We start from the raw sequence: 23,039 nt of genomic DNA, 5'->3' as shown, positions 1-23,039 counted from the left end.
TTTATAAAGGGTATTTAAGAAAAATGAAATTATTCACAAAGCAGGGATGCAACCTGAATCCAATAAACTAAATAAATTGCTGGCACCTGAATCCATGACCAAGCTGTTTCTCATTTATGGTTTCTGTTTTTCTTGGCCTCCCTTTCTATTCTGGCAAAATGTGGTGTTGACATTATAATTGCAGATGAAGCTAATAATAACATGTTTTGCAGAAGCTCTTTCTAGCAAGGTGTAAAATACCACATTGGTCTACCTTGTTAGAGTCAGTGAAAGCCAAAAATAATCAATATGACATGAAAGATAACTGCATTTCCTTTCAAATTTGCATAATGTTAGGGGAAAAGAGTCAAACTCATTTTCACATGTTTTCTGGTTGGGAAAATATATATCAAGACTTTTTGACTGAATTGTATAGTGATAGTGCATAACTTAATTCTGTTTTGAATAGAGGACTTTGCTCTTTTTCGGGCTCAGCAGAATACTCTAGTTGGTTAGGTTGGCTTCAGAAATATATTCAGCAACTGACTTGTGGATGATTGTAAATAATTTAATACAAGGCATCCACTAGTTTTATAAATTACTTAAGTGCCCTTAACATGGATGAGTGGGCATACAGTAGATGTTAAAGAATAAGTACTTGTTGAAAGAATTAAGACAACTTGCATAAAATTGAGATTGTTTATTTATTTACATGTATTCATTTATTTATTTAATGATGCCAACAGGCTAAAAAGCCATCTGTGAATTAGGGCACAAAGATGCTAGTGAATTTTATAACATAAAGATAGAATCCTGTTTTGTTAATTCACCTCTGTCCATAAAAATTATGTCGTTTAACCTGGAAAAGATGATTTATTTCATGCCAAAAGTAGATTCATTCTAGTAATGTAACAAGATTAGGATATCATCAAGGCTTCTTTACTTCATATTCAGTTATAACCTTTTAATAATTAAGAGCAGGCACTCCCTAATATAATAATAAAATTTTACATTTGTATAGTACATGACTCTACAGGTATACTTACTATTTTAATTTTAGTATTATCAGGAACAATTGGCACAGAAAGACCCTTTGACGTACTTAGTTTTAAAGAAATAGACAATTTCCTGTCATTGCTAATTTCCCATTGTAAATCCTTGGGTACAGGTGCCTGTATGACCTGGAGCCCTTTGCTTGTGCATTTATCCTCTGGAATGAACTCTCCCTTTCTCTATTCTATATGTGACCCAGAAGATAAATGCAAAACTGCTTAATTAGGAAAAAGCCTACCATAGTTGCTAATTCTTTCTTTTTAATAACACTATTTATGGTGTGATAGTCTTTCTGAAAACCTCTTTAAATGTTATTACAGTTTTTTTTTTTTTTAAGATGGAGTTTTGCTCTGTCCAGTCTCTCTCTGCCCAGGCTGGAGTGCAATGGTACAATCTCGGCTCACTGCAACCTCCGCCTCCTGGGTTGAAGCAATTCTCCTGCCTCAGCCTCCCAAGTAGCTGGGACTACAGGCATGCACCACCATGCCTGGATAATTTTTTGTATTTAGTAGAGATGGGGTTTCACCATGTTGGCCCTACTGGTCTTGAATTTGTGACCTCAGGTGATCCACCTGCCTTGGCCTCCCAAATTGCTGAGATTACAGGCGTGAGCCACCATGCTCAGCCCTGTTATTATATTCTTAAATTTGTATCTTCTGCACTTCATATTGTGCTAGGTTTAAATTTTATTTTAAAATTTTCCTTGGAAAGATACCTATGTATTTGATTACAGAATAATTTTCAGAACAGATTGTTGTCAGAAAAACGTATTTTAGTTTCATATGAAAAAGAAAAAGATACAGGAATGCTTGATTTATTTTATGCTTCGTTTGTGTGAATAGTGTAATTGTGTTGTCAGTAGTGCTAATATGATCTTAGGTTACATTGGTAGAAGTGGGATGTTTAGAAAAAGTCCAAGGTTTATTGGTTATTCCATACCTCAGATGCTGAAGCAGCACAGCACATACTTTATAAAAACACTTTAAAATCACATTGCCCAAGTGTGACTTTTGGATTCTGCCCATACTAGTTATGCAAACTTTGATAGGTTACTTAGCAAAAATCCTTAAGACCCAGTTTTCTCATTTTTGAAGTTTAGATGGTGTAATAATACTTTCTTTAGAGTGATGTTTAAGAATTAAATGAGATATTTATTGGTATGTTTATTCATTAATTTATAAGTATTAACATAACAAGTAAAAGAGTCTCTTACTTTTTTTTAATGGCCTATGAAAAACCTATTCCCTGAAACAGACACCTTATATAATCAATTTATTAATGGAATGCATTCTGTACAGTATCTTCAATGAAACTTGACTTTTCACTGTAGCCATATCTGTGAGGTTGACTGGTTTTCTACATTCTGTGAGTCCTGTGGCATAGAATTCTCATTAAGTGCTGTCCTTACCATTTAACCCTCATTGAAAAACTCCCATATCTGAGAGTTTTGCATTCTTGCTATACTACCTTATAGCTATTGTTCTGCAGTTATATAACCTCTTAATAATGACATTCTCATCCTTTGAATAAGGATTCTCAATCACATGACTGAAATCTTTCTTTTGAATCTGTCTCTTGATAGTTGAATAGCCTGTGAAATGTAATGTAAGTTCATATTTTATTCTAAAGTTATTAGTCTATTTTCATTTTAAGGATATTCTTTCATTTTCTTATTTGTTGTAACAAAGATAAATACAATATAAAGTAAACCTATTTAGTATACTGAGAATATTGTTTTGGTCAAAAAATTCAAAAATAATTGACTATCTTCATCAAATAGTCTATGATAATCTACATATAAACAAGATTGAGAGCCAGATTTATGCACTGTTCATTCATAAGTTTTCCATTTAATATTTCCTTTCTTATCTGCAGGATTTAATGCCCTTACAGCAATATATTACTTGCTAATCACAACATGTCCAGTCAAATATGAAATTACTTTGTTCATATTTCTTTTACATTAATATACTTAAAATTTTAGATGTATGCTTTCAGGTAAAATTGTAAAACTTTAAATAAATGCTTTTATAATTCTACTGTGAACAGGTTTAATAGGCAATAATATTGCATTTTAATATTATAAAAAGTTGAACTATTTGTTTTAATACTAATGGAGTTCACATACTAAGAAATACAGAAGTTAGGAAACACAATATAAGATATACAAAATAGAACTGAAAGACCATAATCAAAATTAAGGTCTGACAATGTATAAAAATTTAATTCCAAAATGATTGAGATTTCCAGACTTAGAAACTTAATTACTCCTTGCATGTTTTATATGAGTCTGAATTTTTTATACAAGCAACTAAGACACTTGCCTTTTGGGTTTCATGTGTGAACTTTATTCCTCTATCCATTTTTTACCACTTTAAAATATTTTCAGAATTAGAATATCTAAGTCATTTAAATGTAAAACCCAAAACTACAAAACTCTAGAAGAAAACCTAGGCAGTACCATTCAGGACATAGGCATGGGCAAAATCTTTATGAGGAAAATGCCACATGAGATCTAGTTAAACTAAAGAGCTTCTGCACAGCAAAAGAAACTATCATCAAAGTGAACAGGCAATCTATAGAATGGGAGAAAATGTTTGCAATCTACCCATCTTACAAAGGTCTAATATCCACAATTTACAAGGAACTTAAACAAATTTACAAGAAAAAACAACCCCATCAAAAAGTGTGCAAAGGATATGAACAGACACTTCTCAAAAGAAGACATTTATGCAGTTAACAAACATATGAAAACAAGCTTAACATCATTGATCATCAGATAAATGCAAATCAAAAACACAAAGAGATACCATCTCATGCCAGTCATAATGGTGATTACTAAAAGTCAAGAAATAATAGATGCTGGTGAGGCTGTGGAGAAATAGGAATGATTTTACACTTTTGATGAGAATGTAAATTAGTTCAACCATTGTGGAAGACAGTGTGGTGATTCCTCAAGGATCTAGAGCCAGAAATACCATTTGACCCAGCAATCCCATTACTGGGTATATACCCAAAGGTATAGAAATCATTCTACTTTAAAGACACATGCACATATATGCTTATTGCAACACTATTTACAATAACAAAAGCATTGAATCAACCCAAATGCCCATCAATGGTAGGCTGGATAAAGAAAATGTGGTACATATATACCATGGAATACTATGCAGCCATAAAAAGGAATGAGATCATGTCTTTTGCAGGGACATGCATGAAGTTGGAAACCATCATCCTCAGCAAACTAACACAGGAACAGAAAAACCAAACACCACATGTTCTCACTCATAAGTGGGAGTTGAACAATGATAACACATGGACCAGGGAGGGAAACAACACACACCGGGACCCATCGGGGACTGGGGGGCAAGGCGAGGGATAGCATTAGGACAGATACCTAATGCATGTGGGGCTTAAAACCTAGATTACGGTTGATAAGTGCAGCAAACCACAATAGACTCTACAGATATTAAAATGATTTTAAAGTAATTAATACCTTATAAATGTGGCAACATGAATCAAATGGACAATTCTTTGAAAGGCACAATCTATCATGGTTCACTCAAGAAGAATAGGTAACCTAGGCCAAGCACGGTGGCTCATGTCTGTAATTCCAGCACTTTGGGAGGCCAAGGTGGGCAGAGCACTTGAGGTCAGGAGTTTGAGACCAGCTCAGCCAACATGGTGAAACCCCATCTCTACTAAAAATCCAAAAAAAAAAAAAAAAAAAAAAAAAATTAGCCGGGCTTGGTGGCGGATACCTGTAATCACAGTTACTCAGGAGACTGAGGCAGGAGAATCTCTTGAACCCGAAAGGCAGAGGTTGCAGTGAACACTCCAGCCTGGGTGACAGAGTGAGACTCTGTCTCAAAAAAAAAAAAAGGAGTATGTAACCTAATATTATATCTCAAATATTATAGTATATCTCAAATATTATAGTAGATAATTACATATATATGTTATGTATATATTATGTATTCATAAAGGTGAATACATACATGCCATTATATACCATTAGATAGTATTTTGTAGTATATGTTACTGCTATAAGTATGTATGTTAAAGTAATTAAATTTGTAGTCAAATACCTTCCCACAAAGAAAATTACTAGGAAATTCCTACTAACGTTTCAGTACAAAATAATAATTCTACACCAATTTTTCCAGTGACTGAAGAGAATACTTTCCAACTGACTGTATAAGGTCTAAATTACCCTGATATTAAACAGACAGACATTAAAAGGAAAAGTACAAGTCAATATATGTCACAAATATGTATGCCAAAATTAAAAAATATATGGTAAATTCAATGAAATAATACAGAAGAAAGATAATTATGACCAAAGCATATAAAATCAATCTGTATAATTAATCATATTAACAAACTCAAGAACGAAAAAAAGTAAAATTATGTGATTAACGTAATAGAAACAGAAAAATTAATTGATAAAATCCAAGATACATTTCTGTTATAAACTCTCAGCAAAATATAAATATAATGAAATTTTCTAGACATGATAGAACTGATAAAAGATGTTTATGAAAAACATAGTTAACATCACACATATTGGTGAAAGTCTGAAAACTTTCCCCTTAAGATCAGGAAAAAGAGAGGACTATGTGCTTTCACTACTTCTATTCAACTTTGTACTGAAGGTTCTAGCCAGTAAAATAAGGAAGAAAAAAATAAAAAAAACAGAAGGTATGCAGATAGGAAAGGAAGGAATAAAGCTGTCTTTATCCAGAGACGACATGATTGCCTATATATCTGATGACATCTGCAAACAAAATTTACTGGGATTAATAAGTGAGTTTAGCAAGGTGATTTATGGTTCAGAATATTCAATCTTATTAAGATGTCAGTTTGTCCTAAAATGATCTACAGATTAAACACAACCCCAGTGAAAATCCTACATTGTGTTTTTATAGAAATGGACAATTTGATTCTGAAACTCATTGAAAATGCTATGGCAGCCAAAGAAGTTTGAAAATGAAAAACAAAATTGAGTGATTAATACCACCTCTAAATAAGAAAAGAAGAAATATAGTAAATTCAGCCCTGTCCCAGGAGCCTGTGTTTAAGTTTGACTTTAATTTCCCATCTGTTTTTTATTGTTTATTACTCAAAGTCCTCAGGTAGTTGCTTTTTGAATTCTATCTAGAGGTGTAATCAGTAGAAGATATAGAATGTACTAATGAGTTTATAATATCTAGGCTTTACTAGCCTTCCTTAAAATTTTTGTAAAAATAACCAACTTCTGATATTTTTGGTCCTCTCCTTTGTAGGTTTGTTTTACATTTTATTAAGTTGTTTTCATGTTTATTATTCATTTTCTTATTCTTTCTTTGAATTTAATGTCTACGTGATGTTTTGATGCTAACAAAAGTTCTAGATGTCAAAATTTAATAGGACAAATCAAGTCCTTTAATCTAGCAGCACACAACTTGAACAAAGTCTATGAATTTATTTTTCCATCATCGTCCTTCTGATAAAAGACACACATTTAGTCCTTATTTCCAGAAATTCTTCTCATTTTGTTTTCTTTTGTTTTGGTCATTGTGTTAGGCTGTCATTTTCTGCAAGTGCTGGTGTAATTTCAAGATTTGCTTGCCAAATGCATTATAGCATACTGGACAAAAACAAGGACTGCTGGGTAAGTTAGACTTGGATTTAAATTTGTAATGTATCACATACTGTATCAGCTGTATGGATTTGAAAATAATCTCTTACCCTTTCTTTGAGTTCTTTATCTATAAAATTGTGGTAGTAATATCTAACGGATATGGTATGTAAGGTTTCTAGCATGTGCCTAGCATGTGGTAAGCATTCAGCTAAAAGTAGCTGTTTATTAACCTTAAGCCAGTGAATGCTTTTAATTGATGACCTACTTATTCTGATGGTTTATAATATTAAATGATGTTTATTTTCTAAAGTTTTTTACATTATTGATTTTAATCTTGTGTAACATCTGATTGGAAAAATTAGAGGAAAACACTAGTCAGATGTACAAGTTGGTATTCTACTATGTGGAGAAATAATATATGCTCTCCCAATGAACAAGACATGCAGTGAAGAAAGAAACTGGCATTTGGTAACTTCCTTGAAAGGTCCCATGTAGAGAAAGAATATTGCTGGATATCTTAGTCCTGCCTAGGTTGTGAAGCCAAATATGCCTCCTCTGTTGTTATTTAATGGACCTGATTCACTAGATGCTTCTCCGCATGGTAAGCATTAATTTAGAAAGCTGATAAACATCACATGTAGAGCATATTAATTGTGAAGGAAAACAGAACAAAGTTTCTGAAGTGAACTGATTGCAAATGTACTAGTTTGAATTAGTGTTTGCTTCACTTAAGGCCTGTTATATGTTCTAAGATCATTACATGTGAATAAAGAATTGATTTTAATTCTTATGTTTGAAAAGAAATGAAACAAATTCAAGTTTGGACTGTCTTCAGATTTTTCAGCTTTTGGAAAACTTAATTTGTTATAAATGTAAATAATAAAAATGAAATCTGAAAGTTAATACTAAAGGATGGTGTAATAAATGACTCTCTTACTGATCAAAGGCTTAAAGCCCAATCTACTGCAGAAATGAAACAAAATATCATTCATTTTAAAGACACAATAACTATATAGCTATATTATAAAGTTCTAAGGTAGCAAATAAGTTTCTTAAGCTAACACACACAATAACCAATGGTGTAAAACTGAATGTCATATGATATAGTTCATTGTCTTACTGTAAGTCATGTTACTTGAATTTTTCTTCTTTATATTTTCAGTCTAAAATGTATAATTACTGTAACAAATCATAACAGTTATGAAATTCAGCAGTGCTTCTTTGGTGATTTTTTTGCAGGCATTTTGCTTTTATTTTAAACTAGATTCTAAGTGACGTCTCATTATACTTTGAGAAATTTATTCTTGTTTGCTGGCTTTCTCTCAACTACATATTTTTCTAAACACTAATGGAATTAAAAATTAAGCCATTATTCAGCTTTTAAATAAGAATTGCTTTCCTTTTTTGAATTGCCTTCTCATTAATATTAAAAGATTCAATTTTTTAAACTAATGTTCAGTGTCTACCTGCTCTTAAAATTGTAGAAGGCTTTTGCACATGCTATTCTTTTCCTGTTGCTATATTTCACTTTCAAGACTCAATTTATCTTGGATAATAGGTTGTGTCATACAGGGTTTTTGATTTTGCTTCAGAGCAGGGGTCAGCAAACTGCAGCCCAAGAGCCAAATTTAGCCCATTGCCTCTTTTTTTGTACAGCCAGTGGACTAAGAATGGTTTTAACATTATCAAATTTTTGAGAAAATCAGTGCAAAAAATCTTCATGACAAGTAAAAATATGAAGTTCAAGTTTTCGTATCTATAACTCCAATTTTTAATTAAAATATTAAGTATTTGTGAACATCTGCTTTCTCTCTTTTTTATACAAGTTCCCACATAATATCCTTAATTTTGCTTCTGGGGCTGCAAAATATAAATATTTACTATTTGGTCCTTTACAAAAACACTTTGCTAACCCTTGCTGTAGAGAAATAGATTATATTGCAACTCTTAGACTGTGCCATGTTTTTTTTTTTTTCTTGCCTGGGATATGGAGATTGTCCTATAGAGATCTACTTATCTTTTCTGACTGCAAAAGTGCCAACACTCAAGATTTCTTACCCTACATCTCTGGTAAAACTGAATTTGGGGCAGTATCTTTGGGGAGCAGGGAGAGCAGTTCTTCAGAGTTCTGTACCAAAATTGCTTCTTTCATGGTATTCGTCAAGCTGTAATGTTTGAATTTCTTACCTTTCTTTCTTCCAACTAAGAGGAATGTTTTAAGAAGATATGACTGCGATGAATCTCTCTGTAGCCTTATGGATCTTGCCTTGCCGATTGTGTGCACCAACCCTAAAGGTTTTTTGTTCGTTTGTTTGTTTTTTTTACAATTTTTGTGAAGTTGAAAGCTTTCCAATAACTCACAGAGAGTGGGTCTCTAGGAGATGTAGGGATGGGCATTTTGTAGGAAAGTACATCTGAGAAAAAAATGTGGAAGTTTTATGCAGTGCTTGTCAAAAGCAGAATAGAATAAATGTATGAATTCACTTTAGTTCTACTGTGTCATGAATTGATAAAATTGTAGTAACTGGGTGAGCATTTATATTGACATTTCCAGAAATCAACGACTGACTGTATGTGGGATTTTATATAGCAAATTGTGCCCAATTTTTGAATTGAGAGTCTTCATGGAGTTTTGCACTCATGCATTTCCACTAAGATATGTATGTGTACACACACACACACACATACCCATATTCATATACATATGAAGCCACTGAGGGTTACATTTTTAAAAAATTATTTTTGATTTTTTTCTTTGTGCCTGATAAATTATTTTTTTGCTGGTGATGGAAACAAAACACGTAAGGGGACTGCCATAATTCAAAATCAAGGTCTCAAAGAATAGCAGTGAAGTAAAAAAACACATTTGTTGAGACTCATTCAACCAATTGCTCCAATTGAGTGCAGTCAACATTATTTACATTAACAAATGCTCTATTTTGCCCTCTAAGAAACTATTTGTCAATGTTGGAAAGTCATTTTGTATTAACTACTGTATTTCATGAATTGTGTAATTTTTTAATAAATTGTTTTTAACCTAAGTAGTTATTAAGGACAGCATCTCTAGACTATAATAATAAAATCATAGCATGGTAGATGGGACTGATGGGTTTTTGTCCAGGATATCCACAATTACATACCAAATTAGTTGTAAAAAAAAAGAATCCAATTTATATTATATGCTGTTATTATAAGTGCATTCAAATGGCAGTTCTTCAATATTGTTTCTCTTCAATTGATATTATAATCTAATTTGCAGTAAACTAATAGAAATAAGCCACTAAAATTTAAGGATAATATTCAAATAAATAAACATTTTGGGATCTAAAGTTGTCCCAATTCTACTACAAAAATCTAATATCTTATAATGATGTATTATAGCATTGTGACCACCTAACCCTTTAAAAGAGCTATGATACATTGATTTCTGTCCACAGGTTTACTCTGGAACTTATCTTTTCTAATATCTTCTTCTTTGTTTTTAAATTTTACTTTAAGTTCTTGGATACATGTGCAGAACATGCAGGTTTGTTACATAGGTATACATGTGCCATGATGGTTTGCTGCACCTATCAACCCATCATCCAGGTTTTAAGCCCCACATGCATTGGGTGTTTGTTCAAATGCTCTCCCTCCCCTTGCCCACAACCCCCCAACAGGCATGGGTGTGTGTTGTTCCCCTCCCTGCATCCATAGGTTCTTATTGTTCAACTCCCACTTATGGTGAGAAAATGTGGTGTTTGGTTTTCTGTTCCTGCGTTAGTTTGCTGAGAATGATGGCTCCCACCTTCATCCATGTCACTGCAAAGGACGTGAACTCATTCATTTTTATGGCTGCATAATATTCCATGGTGAATATGTGCCACATTTTCATTATCCAATCTATCATTGATGGGCATTTGGGTTGGTTCCAAGTCTTTGCTATTGTAAATAGTGCTGCAATAAACATACGTGTGCATGTGTCTTTATAGTAGAACGATTTATAATCCTTTGGGTATATATCCATTAATGGGATTGCTTGGTTAAATGGTATTTCTGGTTCTAGATCCTTGAGGAATCACCACATTGTCTTCTACAATGGCTGAACTAATTTACACTCCCACTAACAGTGTAAAAGCATTCCTATTTCTCCACAGCCTGGCCAGCATCTATTGTTTCCTGACATTTTAATAATCGCCATTCTAACTGGTGTGATGTCTTTGTTTTTAATTGGGTCAACTTCTATTAGATGAACAGAATCCCAAAGTCCAAATTCCTAGGCTTTCTAATAATGTAATTCATAAAGTAATATTAGAATGCTTTTTACAATAGATTGGTTTAAAGTATGATATTTTATTGCATTAGATTATAAATATGAAATTAATATGCATAATTTAAAAAGAAGAATACATAATTAGAACAAATTTTTAAAAATATAAATACTTAGATACCATTAAGCATCTTTCATGTCAGACATAACCAGTTTTAGGTACTGATTATGAAATTTAATCTCTGTCAGACTCAGACTTTCTTAATATTGTTTATTTATAAAAACACTACTTTATTGTATACATTGTGTTTTAAGCAACACACTTAAATAACAAAGATTATGCGCCACTTGTTCATTTTTTTCTAGGCAGTTAATTTTGAAAATTTTTGTTTGAATAGGTCAACACATCTGTTTCTTAGAATAATAATTGTTTTTATTTTCTTTTCTTGCTCTCCTGTCTTTTTATGAACTTTAAAAGAATGTATCTGTCTATATCTAATCTATCTATCTATCTATCATCTATGTTTCTATCTATCTTGCATATTAAAAAGTATTGAGATAATTTGTCCAGGGTTCCCACAATTAAACATTCATTTGGCTATAAAGAAGAAAATGCCATTTATTTTTCAGTTTGTTGTAGTGATTATAATTGTACATGATAATGATATATATTTATGATGATATATATTTATGATAATGATATATATTTTTCAATAAAAACTTTTTTCAATGTTTTTCAATAATACATATCCTTATAAAATTATTATTGAAAAAAGGGTTTGCTCAACTTCCAAAATTTAATTGAGAAGAAAGAATTCTTAAAGCACAGACCTAGTGCTTACAACAAACTCCAATTCTGCTAAGAAAATGTGTGAGCATGCACTTTCTCAGTGTATGTTTGGAAACTGTGTATGCTTTCATTCAATTTAAATTTCTTTACCCACACCTTTCTCACTCAGGTGCTTCCAAATTTATAGAGACAAAATATTGGGGTGTTTCTTCTAATTGGCGTTGCAAAATTATTATATAACATATGGTATATTTGTTTCAATTAGTTGATTTTTGTATCAAAAATTATTCAATAATTATTTTGATTGCACATTTTTTTAGTTATTGGCTTTTTACACCAGAACCTCTTCATCCCAAGCAATTTATACTGTTTCATCTCATGGTCTTCTAAAGTACATCAAGCCATAATTGTATTTTATTTTTTAATTTTTCTTTCCTCCTTTTGTTCTAATTTTTCTCTTTCTTTTTTTCTCCCTTTTCTCCCTCATCCTCAGGCTCTCATCAAGTCATCATTTTAGAAAAACGCATTAATTATATGCTTTCTGAGAATTTCTAAGTTGACATCTTCTAGGTGTGTTATAATTTTATATACCACAAAGAAAGAAAGAAAAGGATTCTACCCAATAAACTCTGGCATGACATTGATCCAGAGCATACACTAATCTTAACCAAGTTAAAAACCTGAAAATAATTTGCATTCTAGAGTCAATGATGAAATTTAGCTGAAAACATCTTCCTTACTTTTCTGTGTGTGAAGATCAACCTGGATATAGAATCCTTTGGGAGGTAGCACAGCATAGAGTTTAAAAGCACAGAATTTGTCCTCAAAACCCAGCTCTGCTGTTTATTATTTGTGTGACCTTGGAGAAGGTCACACTTTGCTTCAGTTTTCCCATCTTTGAAATAGGGCTAACAAAATGAGCTAGCTCATAGTGTTATAATAAGCATCGAAAGAGTTCCTATTGGAAGGCAGTTCTCTTAAAACAGTATGGATCATATAAATGTTAGTAACGTAAATAACAAATAAATAAGATTCTCAAACTCAGTGAATTGTCCTCTGACATTGTGCGTGGCAGAGAATTTTAAAGCCAGGTAGGTAATAATTTGCCTCCCTTAGTACTGTTAAAATTTCCCAATTTTTAATATTGAAAAAAAAAAACACACACACTGGTACTTGTTGGGCTGCTTAAGATGATTTTCTATTTAAAGCAAATTTCATTAGACATTCCATGTTCTTACATTCAGGTTAATGTCTGCTGTTGCGTCTCTCTTTTTGGTGCTATTTCTCCTGTAAAGGAGAAAAGGAATTCCTGTAATTCCTTTTCCTGCTTTTCTTCCCCGGCCTCCACCTGCTCATCTTTTGTCTTCTTCTTCCTTTTTCCCTTACCTAATGTGGTTGCTGCTGATGTTGTTAAGGTTTATAATACACTGCATTTGTTGCCATTAATGCAATAACTACTCTAAGGAGAGATTGGCTCTCTCTCCTCTTTCTTTTTGCTTTTGCCTTCACAATATTTGTGTTTTATCTTTAGAATCTTTGTTTTGGGGAAGTTTTCTTCAATATACAATACTTATCTTCTACTTGCAAGTTATCAGATAAGTCTCCATCACAATTTTAATTGGAAATTTTATTCTTTGTATTTCTTAAAATAATTCCCTTTTTATTTATTTATTGAGACAGGGTCACCCTCTGTCACCCAGGCTGGAGTGCAGTGGCACTATTTCTGCTCATTGCAACCTTCGCCTCCTGGGTTCAGGTGATTATCTGTCTTAGCCTCCTGAATAGCCAGGACTACTACAGCTGTGCACCACCATGCTGGCTAACTTTTGTATTTTCAGTAAAGACAGGGTTTCATTGGCCTGGCTGATCTCAAACTCCTGGCCTCATGTGATCCACCTGCCTCGGCCTCCCAAAGTGCTGGTGTTACAGGCATGAGCCAAGGTGCCCAACCAAAATTATCCCTTATTTAAGTTAACTTCTTGTATTTCAAATTAACTTGTGGTCCCTGGTAGTTTGTTTTTGAGAATATTTATAATTACCAATTCAGTTTCTTTAAATGTACAGGTATATTCAGATGTCCTTTTTCTCCTTGTGTTAGTTTTGTTATTTAATATTTTTTTCTAGGAATTTTTCCATGTCACCTAAATTTTTGAAGTTTTTGGCATAAGGATATTCATAATGTTCTCTTGCTATCTTTTTAATCTCTATAGCATTTATAGCTATGTCATGCCTTTCCTTCCATTAATGTCTATCTGGATTCCTCTCCTCCTTTTTCCTCCTCTTCCTCCTCCTCTCTCTTATTTCCCCTTATCCACCCCAATGAATCTTGCCAGAAATTTGTCAGTCTATTGGTGTCACTTCAACAGAGACACCATTGTCTATCATTCCATGCCTCACCCATGTGTACACATTATTTAGCTCCTACTTATAAATAGGATCATGAAGTATTGCTCTTTATGTGTCTGACTTGTTTCACTTAAAACAGTGGCCTCAAATTCCAACCATGTTGCTGCAATAGACTTCATTTAATTTTTTATGGCTGAATAGTATTACATGGTATATACATTTACCATATTTTCCCTATCCATCATCCACTAATGGACACTTAGGTTGATTACATATCTTTGCTATTGTGAATAGTGCTGCAATAAACATACAAGTTCAGGCATCATTTGATATAAAGATTTCTTGTCCTTTGGGTAGGTAACCCATACAGGGAATGTTTGGATCACATGGTAGTTCTATTTTTAGTTCTTTGAGAAATCTTCATACTACTTTCCACAGGGACTGTACTAACTTACATTCCTACCAGCAGCATTATAAAAGCTCTCTTTTCTCTGTATCCTTGCCAATATCTATTACTTTTTGTCTTCTCAGTCACAGCCATTCTAACTTTGTGATTTTGATTTGCGTTTATCTCACGATTAGTGATTTGCACATTTTTTCATATGTCTGTTGGTGATTTTTATGTCTTCTTTTAAAAAAGTCTGCTTTTTTCAACTTTTAGTTTCAGTGGTACATGTGCAGTTTTTTTATATAGGTAAATTGCATGTCACGGGGTTTGGTGCACAGATTATTTTATGCCCAATAGACAGTTTTCAATCTTCACCCTCCTCCCACCCTCCACCCTCAAGTAGGCTCTGTTGTCTGTAGTTTGTGTCCATATGTACTCAATGTTTAGTTCCCACTTATAATTGAAGACAAGCAGTATTTGGTTTTCTGTTCACTTAGAATAATGGCCTCCAGCTGTATCCATGCTGATACAAAGGACAAGATCTCATTCTTTCTTTTGGCTGCATAGTATTCTGTGGTGTATATGTATGTGCAACATTTTTTATCCAGTTATCATTGATGGGCATTTAGGCTGATTCTATGTCTTTGCTATTGTGAATTGTGTTGCAATAAACATACACATAAATGTGTTTTTATGGTAAAATTATATATATTTCTTTGAGTACATACTCAATAATGGGATAGCTGGGTTGAATGGTAATTCTGTTGTAAGTTCTTTGAGAAATCACCCAACTGCATTCTGCAATGGCTGAACTGACTTACATTCCCACCAGCAGTGTATAAACATTCCCTTTTTTCCACAACCTTGGTAGCATATGTTATTTTTTGACATTAATAATAGTCATTATGACCGACGTGAGATGTTATCTCATTGTGGTTTTGATTTGCATTTCTCCAATAATTAGTGATGTTGAGAATTTTTTCGTATGCTTTTTGGCCACATGTATGTCTTCCTTTGAAAAGTGTCTGTTCGTATTCTTTGCTCACTTTTTTTATGGAGTTATTTGTCTTTTGCTTGTTAATTTGTTTATGTTTCTTATAGATTCTGGGTATTAGAACTTTGATGGATTAATAGTGTGAAAATACTTTCTCCCATTTGTAGGTTGTCTGTTTACTCTTGACAATTTCTTTTTGCTGTGCAGAAGATCTTTAGTTAAATTAGAACCATTTTTCAATTTCTGTTTTTGTCGTAATTACTTTTGGCGTCTTAATCATGAAATTTTTGCCAGGCCTTATGTCCAGAATGGTATTTCCTAGGTATCTTCCAGGGTTTTTGTGGTTTTAAAGTTTGCATTTAAGTTTTTAATCAATCTTGAGTTAATTTTTGTATATGGTGTAAAGAAGGGGTCTGGCTTGAGCCTTCTACATATTGTCATGGATCCTTGGGGTGATGCTTTTCTGGCTGGAAACCCCTGTGGCTAGTGGCACCTTTGCCCAAGTTTTGCTTGGGCCTGCTGGGCTTGTTCTGCCCACTTGGTCTGGCAGGCTGTGCTCAGTTTACACTACTGGCCTGCATCCTATGCCTGCCAAGGATGAGTAGAGTGGCAAGGGTTGTGTGAGCAAGTGAGTGTGGGATCCAACCATTGTGCACAGCCAGGCATGCTGGCTGCAGTGGGGCAGGCAGCTCCAGGCGCTGGCCCTGGTGCTGGCTCCCTGTGAGGCTGCAGTTGGAGCAGGTATACCCCAAGCAGCTTCCACGGCTGGCACCAAGGAATGCAGTGATGCCTGGAAGCTTGGAGATGCCAGGAACTGCAGAGCCCCAAAGAGGGTGTCACACCCCTGGTTCAGAGAGCTCCTAGGTCTGGGCTTCCTGAAAGGCCACAGCTCTTCTCTCCTTATTTCTTTTCTCCTTTTTGTCACCTGCAATGTAGTGAGCAAGGGGCATGTTTCAGCCCCGTTTGTGTTACAGCTCTTTTAGCCCTGCCATTCGGCAGATCCTGAGTTCTTGTCCTGCATCCAGGAAGAATGAGGTACGTGGACTACTGGAGGGCGAACAAGGTGAAGAGGAGCTTTATTGAGCGACCAAACAGCTCAGAGGATACCTGCATTGGGTAGATCCTCTCTGCAGGCAGGGTGTCCCGGTGAGTGTTCATCTGTCAGCAGAGAGGAGACCCTGGAGTGGGTAGCTCCTCTCTGCAGCTGGTAGTCTGACATCTCCACAGCTCTCAGTGGTAAGGTCCCCTTTATCATTTCTGATTGTATTTATTTGGACCTTTCTCTTTTTTTATATATTAGTCTAGTGAGTGGTCTACCTATCTTATTTATTCTTTCAAACAATCACCTTCTAGATATGGTGATCTTTTGTATGTTTTTTCCTGTCACAATTTCCTTCAGTTCAGCTCTGATTATGGTTATTTCTTGTCTTCTGCTAGTTTTGGGGTTGGTTTTCTCTTCTTTCTCTAGTTCTTCTAGGTGTAATGTTAAGTTGTTAATTTGAGATCTTTCTAACTTTTCAATGTGGGTATTTAGTGCTATAATCTTCCCTCTTAATACTGGTTTGGCTATATCCTAGAGACCGTTGTATGTTGTGTCTTTGTTCTATTAGTTTCAAAGAATTTTTATATGTCTGCCTCAATTTCATTATTTAACTCAGAAGTCATTCAGGAGCAGATTGTTTAATTTTCTTGTAATTGTATGGTTTTGAATAATTTTCTTAGTGTTGATTTCTATTTTTATTGTGCTGTGGTCTGAGAGTGTAGTTGGTATAATTTTGTTTTTTTAATTTTTTTGAATTTGCTCAGGATTGTTTTTATGGCCAATTGTGTGGTCAGTTTTAGAGTATGTGCCATGTACAGATGAGCTGAAGAGTCCCTTCAGCTCACTGGTCCATTTGGTCAAGTATTGCACTCAGGTCCTGAATAGCTTTGTTGGTTTTCTGCCTTGATGATATGTCTAATACTGTCAGTGGGCTGTTGAAGTCCCTGACTATTGTTGTGTAGTTAACTAAGTTTCTTTGTAGGTCTCTTAAGAACTTGTTTTATAGATCTGGGTGCTCCTGTGTTGGGTGCCTATATTTTTAGGACAGTTAGGTCTTCTTGTTCAATTGGATACTTTACCATTATGTAGTACCCTTCTTTGTTGGTTTAAAAGTCTGTTTTGTCTGAAATTAGAATAACAGTCACTGTTTTCCATTTGCTTGGTAGATTTTTCTCCATCCCTTTACTTTGGACTTATGTTTGTCATTGGATGTGAGATGAATCTTTTGAAGACAGCATACCATGGATTTTGTTTCTTTATCCAAATTGTTGCTCTGTGCCTTTTAATTGAGGTTTTTAGCCCATTTACATTCAAGGTTAATATTAATATATGTGGATTTGATCCTGTCATCATGTTGTTAGCTGGTTGACATTGTTTGCGTGATTGCTTTATAGTGTCAATGGTCTGTGTGCTTAAGTGTTTTTTTTGTAGTGGCAATGGTCTTTCCTTTTCATATTTAGCACTCCCTTCAAAACTTTTTGTAAGTCATTTCTGGTGGTAACAAATTCCCTTAGCATTTGCTTGTCCAAAAAAGATCTTATTTCTTCTTCACTTATGAAGCTTAGTTTGGCTGGATATGAAATTCTTGGTTGAAATTTATTTTCTTTAAGAATGCTGGATGTAGGTATCCAATCTCTTCTGGCTTATAGGGTTTCTGTGAAACATTGACTTTTAGCCTGATAGAGTTCCCATTGTTACCTGACTCTTCTCTCTAGCTGCCTTTAACATATTTTCTTTCATTTCAACTTTGGAGAATCTGATAACTATGTATCCTGAGGATGGTCACCTTGTGTAGTATTTTGCAGGGGTCCTCTGCATTTCCTGAATTTAAATTTTGGTCTCTAGTGAAGTTGGAGAACTTGTCATGGATGATATCTTGAGATATGTGTTCTAAGTTGCTTGCTTTCTGTCCCTGTCTTTAGGGATACCAGTGAGTCATAGATTTGGTCTCTTTACATAATCCCATATTTCTTACAGGTTTGTTCATTCTTCTTTAATCTTTTTTCTTTTCTGAGCTGAGTGAGTTATTTTGGAGAACCACTCTTTAAGCTCTGAGATTCTTTCCTCAGCTTGGTTGATTCTGCTGTTAATATTGTGAGTTTATTCTAAAATTCTTGATGTGAGTTTTTCAGCCTTGTCAGATCACTTTGGTTCTTTCTTAAGATGGCCATTGTTTTTCTTTCATCTTCTATATCATTTTATTGTATTCCTTAGAATTATTGGATTGGGTTTTGACTTTCTCTTGAATTTTGATAATCTTCCTTTCTATTCATATTCTGAATTCTATTTCTGTAATTTCAGCCACTTGAGCATGGTTAATAACCATTTATGGGGAACTAGTGTGGTTGTTTGGGGATACGAATATTCTGGCTTTTTGAGTTGCAAGAGTTCTGTTCTGTTTTTTTCTCATCTGTGTGGGCTGATATTTCTTCAGTCTTTGAAGTTGCTGTCCTTTGAATGGTATATATATATTTTTTTGCTTGTATCTTCTTTGATGCCCTTGGGTTTAATAGTGGTATGATGTGGGTTCAGCCAACTGGCTTCCTTTTTGGAAGATTTTATGGGGCTAAGACTCAGCTTAACCATCTTGGGCTGCATGCTCTATTTCTGGACGGTTGATATTGGGACTCTGGCTTTGTTCTCTGGCCCCTCAAGGTTAGGAACCTGCTGCACTGGAGGGAATGAGGTGTTCCTGAATGACTGTCCACAACACTCCAATTGGTGGTGCTGACCAAGTCACTTCATCAGGGTGGTGGCATTGGGATCCATTCTTGTTCACACATGCCAGCAGCTGTGGCAGCATGGCAGAGTGCATCATTGTTAGCTGGGCTGGGGTGGTGGCAGACATGGGACTGCTGGTATCTGTGCATTTGTTTGAAGTGGTGGTGGTGGTGGTGTGGGGCAGAGGGCAGGGCCACTGGCATCTGTATGCATGTTTGTATTGGCAGTGGTGTTGGCATGGGGGAAGGGAACTGTCAAGCATGGAGCTACCAGCCTCTGTGCATTTGGACCAGCTGCATTGGTAGTGTGGAGTTGGTGGCAGGGCCACTGCCATTCATGTACCTATATACACCTTGGCAATGTCAGCATAAGGGCAACATGCTGCCTGGCATGGGGCTATTGGCCTCCATGTTCACATTTATGCTGGCAATGGCAGCTTGTTGAGGGGTGCGCACTCACACCAGCAACAGTGGTGTGGTGGAGGGGAGGTGATATCCTCCCATGTGTGTGTTGCAGCAATGCAGTGGGGGGGTGTGATATGGTTTCAATCTGTGTCCCTGCCCAAATCTCCTGTCAAGTTGTCATCCTAGTGTTGGAGGTGGGACCTGGTGGGAGGTGAATGGATCATGGGGGCAGTTTCTCATGAATGGTTTAACACCTTCCATCTTGGGTCTGTTCTCATGACAGTGAGTGAGTTCTCATGAGATCTGGTTATTTAAAAGTGTGTAGCACCTACCCCTGCCTTCCTCCTGCTCGAGTCATATGAAGTGCCTCGCTCTTCCTTTGCCTTCCTTTATGATTGGAACTTTCTGAGGCCCCACCAAAAGCAGAAAGTGCTATGCTTTTTATACAGCCTGCAGGAACATGAGAAAATTAAACCTATTTTCTTTATAAATTACTCAGTCTCAGATATTTCTTTATAATAGTATGAGAATGGACTAATACAGCATGGCTATGGGCAAGTGTGTGCCATCAAAGCAGCATGGGGGAGGATGCAGTGAGGTGAGTGCAAGGATGGGCTTCTGCATATCAGCAGGGGCTGCTCTCCTGGAGCTCTTTGATAGTCAGGTGTGGTTTGCTGGTGAAGGAGCTATGATGTGTGCTTCCAGGATTCATCACAGTTGGGTGTCTGAGGCTGCACTGCAAGTGGGCATGGCCAGACTGGTCCTATCTCACAGGCAAAACTGCCCTGCTGTGTCCAGGTCCGACAGTATCCCTAAGGCTAAAGTCTCCCAGGGGAGCATGGTAAGCCTTAGGGAATGGGTATCCTTCCCTGTGCTTCATTGCAGATATTCCCACACCAAACACTCTGGGCACTGCACAGGTTAGTCCTGCCCCTACCACTTATCTAAGCAGCCCTCTCTGCCAGCTCAGTGTCTGAGGGTTGTCAGGTCTCCTTCTGTCAGAATTTCAGAGGTCCCCAGCAAGAGCGGGTTGCTTCTCACCTGTTCAACTCACCTCTTTCCCAGGAGTTTTGGGGGCCAGGAAAGAGTCCTGATGCATGGTAGCCAGTGCAGGGTTCCCAGCTTCCTTGCCCTTCAGCCCAGAGTGTGTATCCTCCTTCTGTCCACTCTCAATGCCTTCTTTCTCAAGACCTGCTCAGAGTGCACCAGTCTTCCTGATGTACTGGTGTCTTCGTGGCAGATGTTCCTCCTGGCTGCTTCTAGTCAGCCATCTTGCCAGTTAACCCTACTTTGTTCTTAATAATCATCTGTCCTCAATCTTCAGTACTACTCTGAAATTCCTTTACTAACTTCTTAGATTGCTCATTAATATTCAGCAATTCCTTTCTTTCTAACATTTATTTATAATATGTACATTCCCATTCAAGTAATATATATACTAACTGTACTGTAGGACTTTTCCTAAGTTTTTTTTTATAATTAAGTTTAGTTCTATTTTTTCTGATTTTTTTTTCTTAAATGGGTACATAAGATTGTGGGTTTTAAAAAAATTTCAGAAACATTTTATTTACATTTTTCTCATTAATTTCTGATTTCATGTTATTTTCGAAGAATGTGATCTGTGTTATATAAATTTTAAATTTTTTGAGAATTGTTTTACAACTCAATATGTGATACTTTTTTCAAATGTTTTTTCTTTACTTCAAAAATATGGAGCATTTTTGACCTTTTTCTTTCTCTCATACTCCACAGGTTGTCTATCAGTGAGTACAGAAAATATTCATAATCATTCTACTTCATACTCATGCCCAGATATATAAAACATGTAAAGATGTATGTTGAAACTTTAAAAAAAATCTTTCTTGTTTCTAGCCTCTCTAATTCACTCTCTCATTTCTTTCTGTCTCATATTGTCCATATTCTTATCACTTTTATCACTCTGTGTTGCAATCTAGATAATTTCTTCAGATTTATCTTCTAGATCACTATCCCTCTCTTCTGCCTTGGTTAGTTGTTTAAGTCATTCATCAAATTTCTAACTTTAGTTTTTTTCTGCTTGTAGAAAGTATATTTGAATATTTGGTTGTTTAATTTAATTTTATTTATATTAACATATTATAATGGAATCACTTATGTGCTGTCTTGGACTCTTTGGTTTTACTAATCTTCCAATTCTTAGCCATTAGTTCTCACTCCCATAATATTAATTATATTTGTCTTTCTAACATCAGTTGTATAGATAAAATTCATTAATTTTGAGTGTATGATTAAAGAGTTCTTACAAATGTGTATAGCTAGGTAAGCATCACCATACTTATGATACAGAACATTCCATCGCCTCAAATTTCCCCTCATAGCCTTTGTCGTCTGTCAATCCTCTCTCCCATCCCAGGTGTTAGCAACTACTGATCTGCTTTCTGGCACTATAGTTTTACATCTTCTATAATTTTATATAAATTGAATCATACTGTATATAGTCTTTAATTTTTGTATTGTTTTTTATTTAGCAGTTTTTGTGATTCAGCCATTTTTTGTGTGTCAGAATTTTGTTTTTATTAATGAGTAATTTTCCATTGAATGGACATACCACAAATTTTAAATTCTTTCAAAACTGATGAATTTATTAGTTTCCTATGGCTGCTTTACCAAAGCGTCACAAACTGGGTAGCTTAAGCAACAGAAATTTATTGTTTTACAGTTCTGGAAGCTAGAATTATGAGATCCAGGTGTTGGCAGGGTTCATTCCTTCTGAATTCTGTGAGGGATAATGTTTCAGGCCTTTATCCTTGCTTCCAGTGGTTTTCTGGTAATCTTCAGCTTTCCTTGGCTTGCAGATATATCATTCCAATCTCTGTTTTTATGTTCCCATAGCATTCTCTCAGTGTGCATATCTGTCTCCAAATTTTCCATTTTTATAAGCACATCAGTCATATGGAATTAAAGCCCACTCTAATGTCCACATCTTAATTTGACTACATGTGCAAAGACTGTATTTCCAAATAAGATGTTATTCTTGAGGTACTGAAGGTTAGGGTTTCTACATGTCTATTTTGAGAGAAAGCAATTTAAGCCATAACAAACATTTGCGTTAGTCCTATTTTTGGCTAAATAAAATTGCATTGAACATTTAAACACAAATCTTTGAACATATGTATAAATACTTAAGAGTGGGAATGACGAATCATATGGCAAGTGTATGTTTAACTTTAAATGGTACCTTCCAATTGTTTTTAACAATTTTAATTCTTTTCAGAAATGTGTAAAATCTCCAGTTGCTCTATAGCCTCATTAACACTAAGTATTTCCAATAATTTTACTTTTAGCCATTCTGGCATGTATTCAATCATATAACATTGTGAAAAAGCTTTCTTTTTTCAAATGATGAATGAATGCCACTGAGCATCTTTTTATGTGCTTGTTTGAAACTTGTATATCTTCTTACATGTGATG

At 35.0% G+C, this 23,039-nt stretch overlaps 1 long non-coding RNA gene across 1 annotated transcript in view; it reads left to right on the top strand.

The window, feature by feature from the left end:
• LOC105378031 (uncharacterized) overlaps positions 1-23,039 on the top strand; it is a 181,459-nt gene that overhangs the window by 123,419 nt on the left and 35,001 nt on the right. The window contains exon 3 of the long non-coding RNA XR_943079.3: positions 6,598-6,685. This is a non-coding gene — a long non-coding RNA (uncharacterized LOC105378031). The remainder of the gene's footprint in view (positions 1-6,597; positions 6,686-23,039) is intronic.

This window comes from Homo sapiens, chromosome 6 (genome assembly GCF_000001405.40).
Source record: "Homo sapiens chromosome 6, GRCh38.p14 Primary Assembly".
NCBI classification, from domain to species: domain Eukaryota; kingdom Metazoa; phylum Chordata; class Mammalia; order Primates; family Hominidae; genus Homo; species Homo sapiens.
This window is presented reverse-complemented; position numbering and strand designations above follow the sequence as displayed.